At 32.3% G+C, this 19,266-nt stretch overlaps 1 protein-coding gene across 1 annotated transcript in view; it reads left to right on the forward strand.

Moving 5' to 3' along the window:
- Positions 1–18,549, forward strand: part of UFL1 (UFM1 specific ligase 1) — a 33,471-nt gene extending 14,922 nt beyond the window's left edge. The window contains exons 9-19 of the mRNA NM_015323.5: positions 647–822; positions 1,904–2,083; positions 3,808–3,928; positions 6,167–6,289; positions 11,437–11,554; positions 12,685–12,851; positions 12,942–13,072; positions 14,706–14,786; positions 15,111–15,196; positions 15,755–15,935; positions 16,558–18,549. Coding sequence (NP_056138.1) covers positions 647–822; positions 1,904–2,083; positions 3,808–3,928; positions 6,167–6,289; positions 11,437–11,554; positions 12,685–12,851; positions 12,942–13,072; positions 14,706–14,786; positions 15,111–15,196; positions 15,755–15,935; positions 16,558–16,776 — 1,583 coding nt within the window. The 3' untranslated portion in view covers positions 16,777–18,549. The remainder of the gene's footprint in view (positions 1–646; positions 823–1,903; positions 2,084–3,807; positions 3,929–6,166; positions 6,290–11,436; positions 11,555–12,684; positions 12,852–12,941; positions 13,073–14,705; positions 14,787–15,110; positions 15,197–15,754; positions 15,936–16,557) is intronic.
- The last annotated feature ends 717 nt before the right edge of the window (positions 18,550–19,266 follow it).

The following is a 19,266-nucleotide window of genomic DNA, read 5'->3' on the forward strand; positions in this document are numbered from 1 at the left end:
TGGCACTATAAACTTAAAAGTATTTTTTAATTATAAAAGTAATTATTATATCTTACATTTTGCTAAGTTGCCCAGTTTTTCAGATATATCATCTTAGAAATATTTTGTTGACTATCAGATTTACAATGTGTGTTTTTATTAGTTAACTAATACTTTGGAAACATTGAAGTTATTCTAAATTCTGTGTCTGAAATTCTACTGTCATTTGGATAAATTGGACTGAATTTAGTTATTAAAACAATTAGCATATATATATATAAGATATATATACACACATATATATAGCTTACTTAGTTTGATCAGTTTTATAATCCAAGTCAAACTGCATAACAGATTACTTCCTCAGTAATAAACCTGTAAGTCCTTAGTATATAAATAATTTAAACGTATGGTAGAATACTGGGTTTTTTCCTTACGTTTTCTTGACTTCCTGAGTTGTACTTTTCAGTTTCTTCAATTATAATCATGGATTAGAACTTTGTTATAACTAGTTTTCTTAAGCATGATTATTTGGGGTGGAGTTAGAGGAGTTAAGAAGGTAGACATCTCTAATAACTTTATTGGCTATAACTTTTAAGTCTTTATTTTTCACTTTTGTCTTACATGTAATTGACAATTCTAATCCAACTTTGTGATATATTTGTAGAATTTGATGCTTTGTCCAGACTTGGAATCCCAGATGCTGTAAGCTACATAAAGAAAAGATATAAGACTACACAACTCTTGTTTTTGAAAGCAGCTTGTGTTGGTCAAGGACTTGTGGATCAAGTGGAAGCATCAGTAGAAGAAGCCATCAGCTCTGGAACATGGGTTGATATTGCAGTATGTTTTATCTTTTCCTCACTTTTCTTTAAACAGTGACAACTGATATTTTACTAATATTTGACCATTTAGAAATTAGGATACATAAAGGTGGTCTTGGCTTTGGAGGCAAATTCTAATCATTGTTATAACAAAAATAATCTTTATGCTTAAAGTCTTTCGGGTGACCTTCTACATGTGGACAGTCAACATCCAGAATTCTATAAATCTCAAAACAAACAAGCAAACAATATAACACTCCTGTTAATCCTGATAAAGAATTGATGAGACTTCTCACATCTTTTCCACGCATTCACAGCCGTACTGGCATCAGGCATTGTGTAGCATTTGTTTATTCCTTATCCATTAATCTCTGCTAATGTATTAACACAAGCTGCCTTGGCACGGATAGTGTTTACTTCAGTGTTCAATGTTGATCTGCCCTTCAGTATGCCAAAAAGATAAGTGTAGATAAAGATAAATAAACGAGGCCAATCCATTATTTTCTAGTCGGGCCCAGACCCTCTTTATAAAGCAGAAATTCTCTGTTTTGGATATGAAAGTCCCAAAGATTCCAGATTTAACTGTTTTTTTATTCATCTAACAAAACTACCTTCTGTGTGCCAGGCACCGTTCTATTAATACTTGTTGGGGATATGGTAGCCAGACAAGCTTGCTGTCTTTAGGAGGGACACTTTCATTAGGGAAAGATAGTTAAGGAAAACAGTAAGATAATTTCAGATAGGAGAAAGAGTTATGACAAAATACATTTTGAAGGTTATCAGGACATCCTGGTGGACTGTTTGTGACTTTGTGAGAAAAACGAACTATGTGTGCCTTGTAGGTTTCAGTGTTGTTTTAAACAATTGGAGATGTCTGTTAGGCATGCAAGTGGGGAAGGTAGGCAATAGAATATATGATTTCAGAGCTCAGAGTGGTGATGAAACCAGAAATATAATTTGGAGGTTATCGGCATAAATATGGTTCCAAAAGCCACTGGACTTAATGAGATCATCTAGAGAGAGCATATATGTATATAGCAAATGGTTTCACTGTATTATATTGCATTTATACTTTATTTTTATTTTGTTTGTAATTCTAGCCTCTGCTACCCACTTCTTTATCAGTTGAAGATGCTGCCATATTGCTTCAGCAGGTGATGAGGGCATTCAGCAAACAGGCCTCAACTGTAGTCTTTAGCGACACTGTTGTAGTCAGTGAAAAATTTATAAATGACTGTACAGAACTGTTCCGTGAGCTGATGCACCAGAAAGCTGAAAAGGTATTCCAGATTTCCTTTTATCTGCTAATCTTAATAATATTTTCAATTTAGAATCATCTGATGTCTTTTGAAAAAGGGGATAAGTGAAAGTGAACACTTTGTATCATTTATTATTTTCCTTTAATGTATCATTCGTTTTTATTTTGTCTCCCAGATTTATTTTTTCTCTTATTCCCATCAAAACATCTGACTTAAAAGTTGGGGAACTGACTTTATAAATTAAAATAACGTAAAGGAAATTACACTTTTCAGTTAAGTTTCCTGAGGTTGGTCCAACTTTAAAACCTCAAAATGCACAAAAAACAGTATCTGTAGATATGTACAAATATACAGTGTATTTGTCAACCAATACACAATATATTTACTCAATCTAGCAGAGCCTCAATAATTTTTCCTATTTGGCATACACAGACAGGGTAAATTACTGAAGAAAGAAATTTTGTTACTATTTATTAGTTCCTCAGAGCAACTGCTATGAAAGTATTTTGAAATAGAGGTCCTGCCAGGTCTGTGTTAATGACTCTGTAGTTCATGTTTCTAGTTGGCAGCATCATCTCCTTATAAAGCCTGCTCTCAAATAGGTAAAATAGGCCCATTTATTTTAAACTGTTAATAAATTCATGAGGGCTTATTAAATATGTAAATAGTTTATACTTAGCTGTTCTCCTTCTAAGCTCTTTAATAGTCTAAAAATGAGATAAACTTCTGTATTTAGCCTGATAAGCAGCAGAGAAGATTACAAAGTATACATGTTTGATGTCAGCAACCCTGAATTTAAAACGTGTATTATCTGTATGACTTTGGACAAATAGACCTCTAGTTTCCTCATCTTTAAAGAAAGGATCATGATACCTACTATGGAAAGAATAAATATAAATAAGGGATATATGTAAAATGTTTGTTCCATGTTAACTAGCAGTTAGTAAATGACTCTTACTTTTATTTGGGATTTTTTACTCAAGTAAAAATTTAACATGGTTATCACTTTTCTTCTTTCCTTGGGCTTCTCCCTCTAACCACAAAAATAAATTTGGAAAAAGGTGATTCTGTCATGTGAACTGTCAATATTTTAAGCATTTTTCTTTAGAAAAACAAAAAGGAAATAATATTACTTTTATCATAAATATATACTTTTGTCACTAGAGATTATAGGACCTTATGCCATCAGAAAGAACCAGTATCCGAACTTGGAAATACTTCATCGTTGTTATCATAAACTTTTTCAAAGCAGAAATTATCAAGAATGAATCCAGAGGGGGGAAAAAAAGATTATATGACTTAGTATGCAACTCACATATGGTAATTTGTGTGGGGTAGGGGATGGAGGGTTCATTATCTTTAATAATCTCAAATATCCAGGTGGCATTGGAATTGGGAGTCTCAAAAAGCGAAGGAGCATGGGGCATCAATTAAGCTGTGGTAAAACCAGCCAGTAACAGCTGGAGAGGATTGCATCTGATTGCAGCTGTGTAATCAGTTGTGAAGTGACAAGATAGGATTTCTCATTAGTTAATAATGGGTACAAAAAAGGTCAAGAGCAGCAAGAGAAGAGACCTATTTTGGGCAAGGAGAAACATTTGCCTTAGAGTGACAGCTCTGAAACAAAGCTCTATAGTTCTAAGCAACAAAACCAAACAAGAATAATTAGTGAGTATATAAACAACTTTTATGCTTTTGGAAATGCTATGTGTTTTTCCTACCAAAAAAAGCATGTTTTATTTTAGGAAATGAAAAATAATCCTGTGCATTTAATCACTGAAGAAGATCTGAAACAAATCTCCACTTTAGAAAGCGTTAGTACAAGTAAAAAGGATAAAAAAGATGAGCGAAGAAGGAAAGCAACAGGTAATAAATTGTTAACAAGGAATATTCAAAGTTTTGTATTTGTTGCAGTGAACTTTGCATTTATCACATTTATTATGCCCTTTGAAAGGCCCTTTGTTTTATTGATTTACCTTTAAACAGCTAATATCAACCAAATATTTTGCTAATGTGTTAAGTTTTATATAATAAAATGGAAATATTGGTGATTATGTTTTCTGTTTTCTTTTGTGAAAACTTTATTTTATCATCATGCTCATCTCTTGTTTTTCCCCATCCTCTGTCTATGTTCCAGCCCAGTAGCCCTTTTTTGTTTTGTTTTGTTTTGTTTTGATTCCTAAACTTGCCAGGGTCATATTCACCTCAAAGCTTTTACACCAACTGTTCCTTTTACCTGGAATGCCCTCTCCCAGACTGTAAGTAACTGGTGTATTCTTTTCATTCAGAGCTCGACTTTAAATGCCACTTCCTTAGAGAGGCCTCCTAACCCTTCGGAATAGTAGCCACAGTCACTCTCTGCCACCTCATTTTGTCAGTTTATTTGCATCACTTTATCACCATGATGTGTTTTATTGTTTGGGAACTGTGTTGATCTCATTTATTGTTGTACTCTTGCTACATACCCAAAGCACCACTTGATATATTTTAGGTGTCCTATAAACATACTAATTAAATGAAAAAATTTCTGAAGGACATATTTTTACATTTCTTTTTCTAATCTAAAGTCACTAGAAATTATTCTAGGTATCACTGATATGCTTGTAATTTGCAATGGAAAAGTAACATGTATTTCCATAGTTTTTATAGTAGGAACAGTGCTGTTAGTGCTTTATCGGAACTGAAGAAATTCAATATTCAACATTTTTCATTAATAAATACACTTCTAATTCTTTGAGATAGTTTATTTCCTCTTCCAGAATCTTTTTCTTAAAACTTTTCAATGGCATTATGAAATTTCTCTATTCTTCCAGGAAAATTAATAAATTACTTAAATCACAGTAATATTCATAGCTATGGATATTTTATCATATATTTGAAGATATAGTTATAAATTTGCCTTACTCAATTGATGACTTATGTCAGTATAACTAGTCTATTTAATATTTTATTTCTTATTAAAAGTTAAGGGTCATTTGGTGTTTTATTTTCAGTGATAATGCTATTGTATTATAATTGTTTAATTACAGTGTGTGGAATCATGTCAATCATGAATGTTCCCCCCCATAGGAAACTTATTGTCAAATATAAAAAGCATGTTCACTTTAGACTTATATTTTTGAAAATAGAATTTTTTTATTATAAAAGAAAGGGAAAAATAATAGAAGTTTAAATCTAGGATGTGATGAAATCTAAGGCAAATCTATTTAGAATTTAGAAAAAGATCTTTAGTAATCACTTTATTTTATTAAAAAGACTAATCTTTTACTTATTTTGAAGTAATATAATATAGTTGTAATATGTTCAATGGTTTAAACCCGTTATCAGTATTCCATTTTGTAGAGTAGATATTTTACATGTCAATATCAAAGAGCAGGGAAATGCTGAAGTAGTATTTTTTATTTTTATTTACAGTGTTTGCATTTGTTTCATAATTTGTTTTTTTAAGTCTATAGTCAATAGGTAATAATACTTTTATACTTAACCAATTAATATTCATGGTCAACATTTATGAAGCACGTGTTATGTTTCACGCATTTCTGTAAAGAATATATACATTAATGACACAATGATCCTTGCTCTTCAGAAGTTTATAATCTGTTTGAGTAGCAGATGAGTCAGGATATCTCCTCTAAAAACAGGTAATAATCTTTCAACAAAGAAGGCAAAATAAGAATAATTAAATTTGTGAAGTCTTATAATAGAAGGTTATTGATGAGGCTGTGGTAACACAGATGAGCAAAGGAGGACACATTTCTTTTGGGGAAGGTAGAAGAGGAGGTGAAGGAATGGATTTTTGTTAAGAAAATATTGAGAGTTACAGGAAAGAGGTGACGTTAGAGAAGGAGAAAGAGAATGCATTTAGAGCAGTCAGGCTATCTAAGGTAGATTGCTCAAAAGATTTCATATTTTATTATTAATTTTTTATGTATTGGATTTACTAAACTTTTAATAGGGAACTCCAAATTTAAAAAGAGTCTAAAAGTTTCTTTATTTTGCCTTTATTTTTTCTGCTGTAAAGTTAAATACAACAATATAGTGTCATTATTTTATAAAAATGATGATTTAGTTAGGTAATGCTAACTAATGTCATTTTCCCACCAGAGGGCAGTGGAAGCATGAGAGGAGGAGGTGGGGGCAATGCCAGAGAGTACAAAATTAAAAAAGTCAAGAAGAAAGGAAGAAAAGATGATGATAGTGATGATGAATCTCAATCATCCCACACTGGTAGGTAGCTTTTCTTTACTTTTCCTTGGTGTATGTGTGATATTTGTAACATATTTTCTTAAGATGTATATAATTAGGTATATATGCTAATACAGGAAGTCCTTATTTTGCAGTGTTTCAGTGACACAAATTTCAGTTACCACACTTTAGTTAAATGTTATCAGTCCAGTAACAACACTGTTTATCTTAAATATTAGATACAAAGATACTTCGGTATATTAACTGAGTATAGTATAAAGTAGCTCTTCAGTCCACAAATCAGTACATAAATAACAGATGCATATCATGATCTGTGACAATCACACCACTTATTGTATAGTTTGTCAATGATTGGTCACTGCACATTGGTTATTCCTTATGCACAAACAACAAAGCATGTAGCTGTATTGCCTAATTGTCTCCCAGTGATAAACGCTATGATATTTTACAGAAATGGATAATCAAAAAGAGAATTGGCCAACAAAGATAAAAGCGTAGCAAAGAAATGAAAAGTGATAACACTGAAAATAAAATTGGAATCAAGCATAAATGGAGTTATAGAGGGAATGGCTGACTGTGGGAATGTTGACACTGCCATTGCTCAAGAAAATGAGGAAAGTGGTTATGACAAAAAGGATGAAAACATCTTAGAGGATGTAAAGTGGGGAAAAACTTCACAATTCTTGGAGATATTCCAAGACATTGAAAAGGCAAGGGATAAAACATTGGAAGCTGATTCAGAGTTAGAAAGTGGTATGACAATTTATAAGGCATAGGAAAGGTACTTGGTCCATACTGCAAGTTAATTGATAATAAGAAGAAAGCAAGCACTGTTCAGACTATTCCTGATAAGTATTTTACACAGAAATAAAACACTTTCATTCTCCATGTTCTAATGTGTTAAAAATACAGCATATTAAATTATAAACATTAGTTTTATTTTTCATTTTCCTATACATTTATAACCAACAGTAAAAGCTTTTAATGTTTACCAAAAATTTTTAAAGGCCACAGAACAATTGTAATTTTTCCTATTGATTATTAAGAAAGCTTTGCATGGTTTCACCTTACCATGATCATTTTTATGGTCTTCCACTGCCATGCAAAACAAGTATTAGGATATTTTTGAAAAGTAGACTTGCAAATTTAAATAGGAAACATTAATTTTATGTACATTTTACTTTCATAGTAACACCTAACTGGTTGGTTGCTTATATCTAAGAGAGAGCATTAATTATATGCATCTTTCTTTTCCTAGACTTGCTAGTGCTTGGCCAAGAAAGTCTACAAGAGACATCTTTTGTTTTTCTAATTAAAATTATGATATTTTTAATTTTTCTGTTTAAAAAAGGTAAACTTAATGAAACCATGATACTGCCCTCTTCCTTATCCCCAGCAAAATGAAAATTAAAAAAAAAAACTTTAAATGATAATAGATTGAGATTTATATTTTTCCTCTTTCACAGAATTCATTACATACGGGCTATAGCTGGAAGATGTAGATATCAAGTGATGTGCCTGCAGCTATTAATGTTCTACTTGCTATTTGTAATAGCACAGTTGTTTAAGATTTGTCTTTAAAGTATTCTGAGATAGGTAGAAATAACTACTGTTCTTCATGTATGTAAAACAACGTTAATTAAAGGAAAAGTATCTTTATAGGAACTACTAGCTTTATCCTTATTTCAAATAGGATTAAGACTATCCATTGTGAATTTTAATTTTTCACTGGTAAATGGATTTTCCTGTTGCCCAGGTGTACTAGGCATGTGGGTGAAGAGGCATTACAAGAAAACACTTCTCTAATATCTGTAATCTTAAATAATGGTTAAATGAGGCATGTGATATTCCTTTTGTGAATAGATTATTATTGAAAGGAGCTATAAAAGTAGTAAAACCATTCTACCTTTAAAAATATAATTTCAATGCTTTTGAAAAAAAATTTATGTTGTAATCTCTGAAATAGAGGATGAAATTGGGTTCTCAGCTAAAATATAGGATCAACTCAGTATGAAAGATTACTAGAAGAAAATATAATTTAATAACTTTGAAAATGCATAAAGGAAGTAAACAGGGAAATCATAGATCATTTAATGTGAACATTAGGAATGGACAGCAGATCCCAGAAGATAATAGTACTGTCTGTCTACTCTAAAGCTAGCATGTCAACTCCTTAGATTTTTATTTATAGTGAAAATTGATTTTTGAGCCATTTTATTTTTATTTGTAAAGTTTTTGCTTATAGAATCAATAACTTAATTAAGCTAGAAATAATCACTTTTATACCTTTACAATTTCTAATGGAAATATTGTTAGCTTTTTTTGTCTACAACCCATGCTTTCCTAAGTAAATGGGTAGGCATGACATTTGCACAGTTAGCTATTATTTTCATTACAGTAGCTGCATACAAACTTTCCTGACTATAGACTTATTTTTGTGAGAGCAAAAATAAATTATAGAATTCTGAGATTTTTTTTTAATCTATGCCTTTTCCAAAAGATACATTTTAGCTTAAACAATTATTTGAATTGTGATTCACATGATTATAAAGACTTTCCAAAGATCTTATTTAGATTATAAGGATTATTTAATTTCTAATAAATTTATATTTTTATAAAGGAGGAAAAACTGCCCGGTATTCCTTGTTCAACAAAGATAAATTATTCTTTCCTTAAAAATTTGTTTTGAAATACTTGTTTTGATTTCCAGCTATTTGTATCATCCAGGTTTAACAAAGGGGAAAACTCTTTATTATTTTCTGATTGACTTATAGAAAATAATCAGTTTTAAATGAAGTTAGAAAATGATCACATAAGAAATTTTACCACTTCATGATAAAAATCTTCAGAAAACTAGGCATCAAAGGAACATACCTCAAAATAATAAGAGCTACTTAACGACAAACCCACAACAGCATCATACTGAGTGGAGAAAAATTGATAGAGCCATTAAGAACTGGAACAAGGCAAAGGATGTCTACTCTCACCACTCCTATTCAACGTAGTACTAGAAATCCTAGCCAGAGCAGTCAGGCAAAAGAAAGAAATAAAAGCATCCATATTGGAAAAGAGGAAGTCAGATTATCTCTGTTCTCTGATGACACGATCATATACCTAGAAAGCCATAAAGACTCCTCCAAAGACTCCTGGTCTTGATAAATGACTTCAGTAAAATATCAGGATACAAAATGAGTATACAAAAATTAGTAGCATTTCTATACATCAGTGTCTTTCAAGCTGAGAACCAAATCAAGAACTCAGTCTTATTTTTAATAGCTACAAAAAAAAAAAAAACTAGGAATACATTTTACCAAAGAAATAGAAGATCTCTACAAAGGTAACTACAAAACACTGATGAAAGAAATCGTAGATGACACAAACAAATAGAAAGACACCCCAGGCTCATGGATTAGAAGAATCAATATTGTTAAAATGACCATACTCCCCAGAGCAGTCTACAGATTCAGTGCAATCTTTATCAAAAACAAACATCATTTTTCACAGAATTAGAAAAATACACTCCTAAAGTTGATATGGAACCAAAAGAGAGCCTGAATAGCCAAAGTATCCTAAGCAAAAAGAACAAATATGGAGGCATCATATTGTCTGACTTCAAATTATACTACAAGGCTATAGTAACCAAAACAACATGGTACTGCTAGAAAAATGGACACATAGATCATTGGAACAGAATACACAACCCAGAAATAAAGCCACATATCTACAACCAACTGATCTTGGACAGGGTCGACAAAAATAAACAATGGGGAAAGGACACCCTATTCAATAAATGGTTCTGGGAAGAACGAAACTGTATCCTATCTCGTCATACACAAAAATCAACTTTAGGTGGAGTAAATATTTAGAATGTAAGACATGAAACTGTAAAAATCCTAGAAGAAAACCTAGGAAAAAATCTTCTGGACATTGGCCTAGGCAAAGAATTTATGATAAAAATCCCAAAAGCAAATGCACCAAAACCAAAAATTGACACATAGGACTTAATTAAACTAAAAAGTTTCTGCACAGCAAAATAAATAATTACAACAGAGTAAATAGCCTTCAGAATGGGAGAAAATATATGCGAATTATGCTTCTGACAAAGGACTAATATCTAGAGTCTACGAAGAACTCAACAAGAAGAAGCCCCATTGAAAACTGAGCAAAGGATATGAACAGATACTTCTCAAAAGAAGAAATACAAGCAGCCAACGAACACATGAATAAATGTTCAACATCACTAATCAGAGAAATGCAAACTAAAACCACAATATATCATCATACACCAGTCAGAATGGCTATTACTAAAAAGTCAAAAAACAACAGATGTTAGTGTTGATGTGGGGAAAAGGGAATGGTTATACACAGTTGGAGAGAATGTAAATTAGTTCAACCTCTATGGAAAACAGTATGGAGATTTCTCAAAGAACTAAAATTAGAACTACTATTTGACCCAGCAATCCCACTGCTGGGTTTCTACCCAAAGGAAATGAAATTATTATATTGAAAAGACACATATACTCTTATGTTCTTTGAGGCATTATTCACGATAGCAAAGTCATAGAACCAGCCTAAGTGTCCACCAATGATTGACTGGATTAAGAAAATGTGGTGTATACCATGGAATACAATGTAGCCATTAAAAACAATAAAATGATGTCCTTTGCAGCAACGTGGTTGGAACTTGAGGCCATTACTCTAAGTGAGCTAACTCAGAAACAAAACAAAATACCACATGTTCTCACTTATAAATGGGAGCTAAACAATGGGCACACATGGAAAATAATAGAAGAACTCCGAAAGAAGGGAAGTTGGGGGGGGGCGGTATGTGGGCAGGGCAAGGGTTAAAAAAATTACCTAATAGGTACAATGTTCACTCTTTGGTTAATGGGTACAGTAGTAGCCCAGTCCCTGCCAGTATGTCTTGTATTCATGTAACAAGCATGCATACGAAGCCCCTGAATATAAAATAAAATATTTTTTAAAAAGAGGTTTTATTATATATCCTAATTTCAAAATTGTTTTTACTAGTTGTTGCTATTTGACATTAACAATTGAGTAATGAATGAATTATTGTCTTACTAAATATAGTAATGGAGCCCTATTTGCCATTTGGTTGCATGTTTTTTATTTATTTATTTATTTGCCATTGCTCATGTCCGATATAGGAAAGAAGAAGCCAGAGATCAGTTTTATGTTCCAGGATGAGATTGAAGATTTTTTAAGAAAACACATACAAGATGCCCCTGAGGAGTTTATTTCGGAACTTGCTGAGTACTTAATAAAGCAAGTATAAAATGTATTTTTTCTGTTTTATGGTAGAAATTAAATGGGTTATTAAATAAGATTTTTTCCAAGATCATAGAAAGCAAATGTATTAGATATTTTCATTTCAAACTTGGAATTTAACCTAGCCACCAAATTCCAGATTTTATTTGCCTACAGTGGCAGTTTAATTCAACAAATATTTGTTAGGTGCTTTGGGTAAAGCAGTATGGGAAATAAAAGGCAGGAGCGAGAAAGTGTCCTCACTCACCCATCTTACAGTCATAGGTCTTGGTTGGGGAGAAAAAGACCGGCATTAACCACTGGCTGGTCTCTTCTATAGCACAAAAAATAACATTCAAAAGGAAGAAAAGATAATTTTCTATTTTAATTTGGCAGAAAGTAAACAGTGTTTAAGGAGAATATAGAGTAACAAATTCACTTCAAAAAGAATAAATTTAGGCACTCCTACCTTATGAATGGCTAAGGGTATTTTTATATAAAAATGAAGAAAATTATGTATAACTTGACCATTAGTAACTAACTAACCTGGTCATCCCTCAAGTTAGTTTCACTGTGTACGCTTTCATAAATACAATCCAGGAGAGCAGTGTATCTAACTTTGATTTTAGAAATATAACTTCTGTGGTGATAATTTTTTTAATATAAATATTTTTTGTGCATAAATGTATTACAGAATTATAGTTTTCACATGTAAAAAAATGAAATAGTTACTACTAATCATTTTGCACTGCTTTTTAGGCATAAAAAGGTTTTTTTAAATGTATTTTAATATTTTAGAAATTGAGAATTTTAAGTTGTAATTCCTGAAGATGAAGAACAGATTTATAGTCTACTAGTCTCCAAATTAATTTTAAAAAGCAATTTTGAATTATGGGGGTTTTGTTATTCTTGGTGTCTTAATTGCAGTAACTTTGAATACTTTAAAATAGAGAAAATTAATCTATTTCTGTCTTAATTCCTAGGGTTGTGGAACAAATTGTTAGTGAACTTGTCTCCAAATTAATTTTATTTGCATAAAAAAATAGAGATTTCTATTCTTAAGCCTTATTTCCATAGAAACAAAATTCCTTATCTATATAAATACTCAGTACATTTTAATAAACTAAATATATTTGTCTTATGCACAGACCTCTTAATAAAACTTATCTCGAGGTGGTACGTTCAGTATTCATGTCTTCAACAACTTCTGCTTCTGGGACGGGCAGAAAACGCACAATCAAGGACTTGCAAGAAGAAGTTTCAAACCTGTACAATAACATTAGGTTATTTGAAAAAGGGATGAAGTTTTTTGCAGGTATACTTAATCTTTGTTAATCTTGTTTTTTCATTGATTTTCATAATTTGGGGAATAAATTAGTTTTAATAAAGGTCCTTTATTTTCCAGATGACACACAGGCTGCTCTTACCAAACACTTGCTGAAGTCAGTGTGTACTGATATCACTAACCTCATTTTCAACTTCTTAGCTTCGGATTTAATGATGGCAGTAGACGATCCTGCAGCCATTACAAGTGAAGTATGTTAATGATCTCCCTACCACTATTGATGTGTTCTGTTTTGCATCTATACACATTTTATTTTATCTTATTTGGAGTAAAGAGGAAAATAAAATACAGTGAAAGAGGTTTGAGGAAAAAAATCTAAAAGTTTTTTATTCAACTTTAGTACTATATATACAGTTGCTAGCAGGATTGGTAGTATAACTAGTCTGTTAAAAGTAATGATGCTTAATTACTTTAGAATAAACAGTTTTTTCCCTAATTATTATGTCACATTCCCTCTTCCTAATGACTGGCAAATCCCATAACATTCTGACCCATTTCCATAACTTTGAAGTTATTTTCCTTTAAGGACATCTCATTTCAATATTTAGACTAATTCCAATTAATTTTTTAAAACTCTAATCTCAAACTAAATTCAAAAGCTCATCTCCTCCCTTCTTGCTATGTAATGTAGAGAATGGCTCCCAGTTGCCTAGAGGAAGAAAGGTGCCATCTATCCCAAGATGACAACCCCTCCTTCTCCTTCTCTTTCTTCTCTGTCCTCCTCCCACCTTCTCTACCTCCTCTTCCTCCTCCTCTTTCCTGTTCTTCTTCCTTCTTCCTCACCTCTCTAGGTCCACTTCGAGTTGGAGATTTAGGAAAAATGAGGCAGGAAAAAGCGTCTTGATGTGACTGACTACATGTCACTGCTTTGATCAAGGTCAAACCAAATCAGTCTGATGTTTGTGGTCTTTGGTGATGTAGTTAGTCATTGCCTCATAGGCGATATAAGTTGTTTCCCTGGAATGTTGTTTAGTTTCATGTGACTTCTCACAGTAAGGACCATCCCTCAAACAGAGGAACAGTTATTTCTTCCTCCTTCCCCAGCAAGGTGCTGGCCCCCTTCCCTTCTTCTGCTTAAGAAGCAAATCCCCAGTTGTCTAGACAGTTTCATGTCTCCTGCCCTTATACCAATCTCTGCTATGGAAAATACAGAATATCTTGTTCCATGCCCTTTAAGGGCCACAGAAGGATTGGTGTGGGATTGGGGCAGAGAGGCTAGACAGGAGCAACTAGCCCTTAATCTTCCCAGACATTATACACTTCAGGGCCTGGTGTCAAGCCATACTAGCAAGTCTGCTCCAAAATTTTATGCCAGAAGAAACTAAAAGACTCTGATCAAGAATACCATAAAACTTCAGTGGACACTTACATGTAGAGAGAGGTGCTGAAAAGATTCCTCATACCATAGAGCATAACAAGCATCCAGCCATGAACAAGAGCTCAGCCTCCCATCTTGTAGGCATCCTTGATCTTTATGAGTGGGGCCCTTCACAGCTGGCACTGGGTAGAGAAAAACACCCTCTTCCTACTCTAATGGAAGAATTAGCCTCTTAACCCAAATATTCTGTTTCTCACAAGGTCAACGACTCTCTCTAGTCTTTCTCTTACATTGATGGAGCAGGTGGGAGGAGCAGGGCTGTATCTATCCTGTTTGGCTGATTGGCTATTGACTCTAATAATGTTTTTGTCTCTAATTTGAGATCTAAAATTCAAGAATATGGTAAATTCCACTCAGGAACTTGTTACAGTATTTTTTTCACTTTATCTTATATCCATTGCATGTCAAAAGCACAGTACTGAATGAATTTTCATTTACCCCTACAGATAAGAAAGAAAATTTTAAGTAAATTATCAGAAGAAACCAAAGTAGCTCTTACAAAACTCCATAACTCTCTGAATGAAAAGGTAAGTAAAGTTTTATTCTATTTACATGTCAGGGCTAGCAGTTTGTTACAAAGATCTTTGAGTAGATTTTTTTATCAGAGTAATTGTAAATCCAATCTAAAACTAGTATTTTGCACTCAGCTGCCTCTTTGAAATGAGAAGAGAAGACCAAGCTGCTGGCATTTTACCATTGTTAGTTCTATATCACAATTTCTAACTTAATGAGAAAGTGACCCTTTTAAAAATTGTATTTGGGATGTAAAATTACAAAACAATTGTTAAATGGCTATACTTCCTTATGCAGTTATATATAAAAGTAAATTATGGTATTCAATGCCTTTTCAGAGCATAGAAGACTTTATTTCTTGTCTGGATTCTGCAGCAGAAGCTTGTGATATTATGGTGAAAAGGGGAGACAAAAAAAGGGAAAGGTAACATTAAATTAATCTATATTTGGAAATGTTCTTAAATGTGGAGCCTTTCATATCTGAAATTTGAATTTGACTGCCCGGCTCTTACACAGAGAATATGTACCTAATGTGTCTAATATATCTAAATGGCTGTAGACCTTCAAGAATATTCAAAGTCTTAAAATAGTTAGATATTTCTCTCTGACCCTCTGGATCAAGTAGCAGAGTTTCTTTATCCTATAGTTCATCAAGCCCAGGAACTTTTTATTAGCTTGGGGACTTTCCTTACAGGAAACCTTACCTAATCAGTGCAAATTTGTTTGACCTCCAGCAACTCAAAACAAAAAACATACTTTGAGTATTCCCACTCTATAGCTTTTTCTTTAATTTTGTAGCACACTAATCTATCCATGCCATTTAGGTTTTATGTGTGTATATCCCATATTGAAAAGTTACCTTAAATTTTTATGGAATTAGATAAACTAGAGAAGCTAAAAATTAACAGAAAGGGATGAATTGAAATTGGTGAGAACTTCTTAAATTATGATAATGAATTTGTGTGCTTTTTTTTTTTTTTAGACAGATACTGTTCCAACATCGACAAGCACTGGCTGAACAGCTAAAGGTCACAGAAGACCCTGCTCTTATTCTGCACCTCACATCAGTCCTGTTGTTTCAGTTTTCAACCCACAGCATGCTCCATGCACCTGGAAGATGTGTCCCACAGATCATTGCTTTTCTTAATAGTAAAATTCCAGAGGTATTACATTTTCAATACACTTGAAACTTTCAAAGATTTACATTCTGAATATTTTGAGTGGATTGAGATGAATTACTGTCAGCACTCAGGTATAAAATACATTAACATCAAAGCCCATTTCCAATAATGTGAACAGTGGATTAGGAGATTAATTTTTTAAAATTCCACATAGCTCAAGAATCTTTCAAGAATGTTCTGAATTTGGAAATTAAGCTTTCAGAAAAGATACAATAATGTCAAATCTCCCATTTCAGCTTCTTTAGGTTTAACTTATCCATCAAGGACCCATTCAAAAGTCTTGTCCTATCCCTTTTAGCTAAAAAACCCCTCAGCTAAAAGGGAACTTCCCTATCCCTTTGACTGTATCTTTGGTGATAGAACCAGGTGATAAGTTGACTTTACCATAAGTCAACTTATGGTAAAGTGATTTGCATTCATGTTTTATCTCTCCTAAATTGTACACTCCTTGAGAGCAGAAACTGCTAGATTAGACTTGCTACTTACATGGCCAGTTTTTTGTAAAGATGAGGACCTTCAATGTGTATTAGTTGAAGAAATTCTACTTTATCTGTTCCACAAAAAGATAAATTGTGTTGATTAACTTTTCTTTCCCTTTTCACAGGATCAGCATGCTCTTTTGGTAAAGTATCAAGGTTTGGTTGTAAAGCAGCTAGTCAGTCAAAGTAAGAAGACTGGGCAGGGAGATTATCCCTTGAATAATGAATTAGACAAAGAACAAGAAGATGTTGCCAGTACTACTCGTAAAGAGCTTCAAGAACTTTCTTCATCCATTAAAGACCTTGTTCTCAAATCTAGGAAATCATCTGTGACGGAAGAGTAATGATCTTAATTTACATTTGTCATATAGTAAGCATTTTCCCCCAAGGTTGAAGGTGAGTGGTCACAAAAAAGTAGTCACTATACAACTCCCCTCTCCCTGCAAAAACCACCTCATACACACACAATTCAGTTAAAACAGTAGTATTGTATTAAATGTAAATCTTAAAAAGATGTGAATTTTTGTAAATTGGGTTCTTCATGGAAGTTTTTTTCCACCTGATTTTCACACAAATACTATATGAAATTTTTCACATTATTTTCACATAATTTTAAAAATTACATATTTCAGGTTTGTTCTCTTTCCAAATGTTGAATGAAAAACAAATTTTCCAATCCATTTATCCCTGGGGAAGGATTCATTTGTTGCGAGTGCCAGTATACTTAAATGTATACTTTATATACATTTAAGCAGAAATTTAAAATGTGGTCTTTTTTTTTTAAAAGAAACACTTCTGTGTCAGAAATGAAAATAAATCATGTTTTTTATTTTTAAATAGAAAGCACTTCAAAACTAAAATACAGAAATTTACAAAAAAGAAAAATTATTACTAAGCCCTTGCTCTTATTTTTGGCAGAATAAACATTGATTTTGGTTGGGGCTGCAAGGATGCCTTTACAGGTGCACAAGAACGCTAGAGTGGCCCATGCATTGCTGTGTTCTCTTCTAAAACAAGCTACTAACAAGAGAGAGAACACATGCAATTTATTACCAGTAAGCATAAGTCATATTTAACATTGGAATAACTAAGCATTTTATACAAAGATTTTTCTTTGACCCAGTTTGCATTTGTACATTTTATTTTTTTAGTTCAACAGCTGCTCTGTCACATAATACTTTGTAAATACTAGTGTGAAAAACAGATAGGATGCCTTTTCCAGTGGTAGGAGCATCTGTAAGTGCATTTAAATCATTAGAAGCTTTTTTCCAAAACTAGAAACCCTTATTAAAAAATAGACATTTTTTTCTAAAGATTATTAGTTAAAAATAACTAAAAGAGTTCCTTAGAGTAATCATTTCAACCAAATGAATTTCAAGCAACAACTTACTTACTATTTATCAAAAAGGGATTTAATTATTTTGAATATAATTATAAATTAAATTTCAAATATTTAAAAATACTATTTTATATAATTCCTTATGACATTTTAAACTTTATATTTTAAAATATTTGAATACGAAAAGATCAGTCTACCTCTACTCCATTCTAGACAAAGTATTAATCCTTAGTGAAAGTAATTAATTAAATTGCCAACTTGGCATTATTATTAAACTTGATAGGAACGCAACATTAAATTTAAAAATGTTTTCCCGTGGGTAATTTTCTATTATATATTTTCATATGGGCAAAGGGAAAAAATGATAAATCCTCTGTAATCACAAACCCCAATTTCGTTTTGTTTATTCAGCTTCTAAAATATTGAACACCCAGACTTTTAATTCAACCTTTAAGAACCTTATCATTTATGTTTCAGTAGATATCAAAGTAATCCATGTTTGTGTCAAATGATCATAGAAAATAAATAGAAGAGACAGTGAAGCAAGTAAAAAGAAAAGCATTGTTTTAATTTGTTTGCATTAATTTTTTTCATTTGTCAAAATGCTTCTTTTGTTGCCACAGTAAAGAACAGTTTTTATTGTTTTGTAAGTAAAATTACGTAGCTGATTTTGTATGTAAAGATTAATTTCCATAATAAAAATTATTGTATGTTTACTGTGATCTTAATGGGCAGGGTTAAGAAAGTTATTTAAAATAAAGTTACCTATTCTACTAAATTTTATAGTACTTTGAAGCTTCTATTAATTAACACAAAGATTAATTGGTGCATATATTTTATATATATACATTTTGAATTCTCATTTTGAACATTATTAAAGGATTTTATTTTTCTTACACAAAAATAGTTCCAGAGCTCTCAGTGTCTTTCATTCCTTGAGAGTTTGCCATTCTCAAACCATTTTATCTTAGTAAATTATTTCTCAATTAACTAGATTTCAGCAAATGTGTAGCTGTATTCTTGCATATGCTAATTCCTGCTATTGCAGTCGGGGTAGAAATATTGGAAAATGTGCTCAGGTATTCATGTTCATGTGTTCCAGCTCTAGACTTACTTATGTGCTTTTCAAGAGTTAAGGAAACTCTTGGCCATCAGAAAGATCCGATGAAGAGTGGCATATAGTATCAAAATCACAGTGTATTTTGTGAAAAGACCTTAATGCTAAATTAGGACAATAAATGTAATAGTTGCTTAACCTGAATGTATTATTAGAGAAATGCTTTACTTAGACCAAAAAGCACCATGGATAAGGTCAGGGTGCAATGGTGATCTGAAGCTGGAATCAGACTGAAAAGGAACAGTTCATTCCTTCCTCAGAAATGTCACTAGAACCAGAGTGTATTAGTCCGTTTTCACGCTGCTAATAAAGACTACCCGAGACTGGGCAATTTACAAAAGAAAGAGGTTTATTGGACTTAAATTTCCATGTGGCTGG

This window comes from Homo sapiens, chromosome 6 (assembly GCF_000001405.40).
Source record: "Homo sapiens chromosome 6, GRCh38.p14 Primary Assembly".
Lineage (NCBI taxonomy): Eukaryota > Metazoa > Chordata > Mammalia > Primates > Hominidae > Homo > Homo sapiens.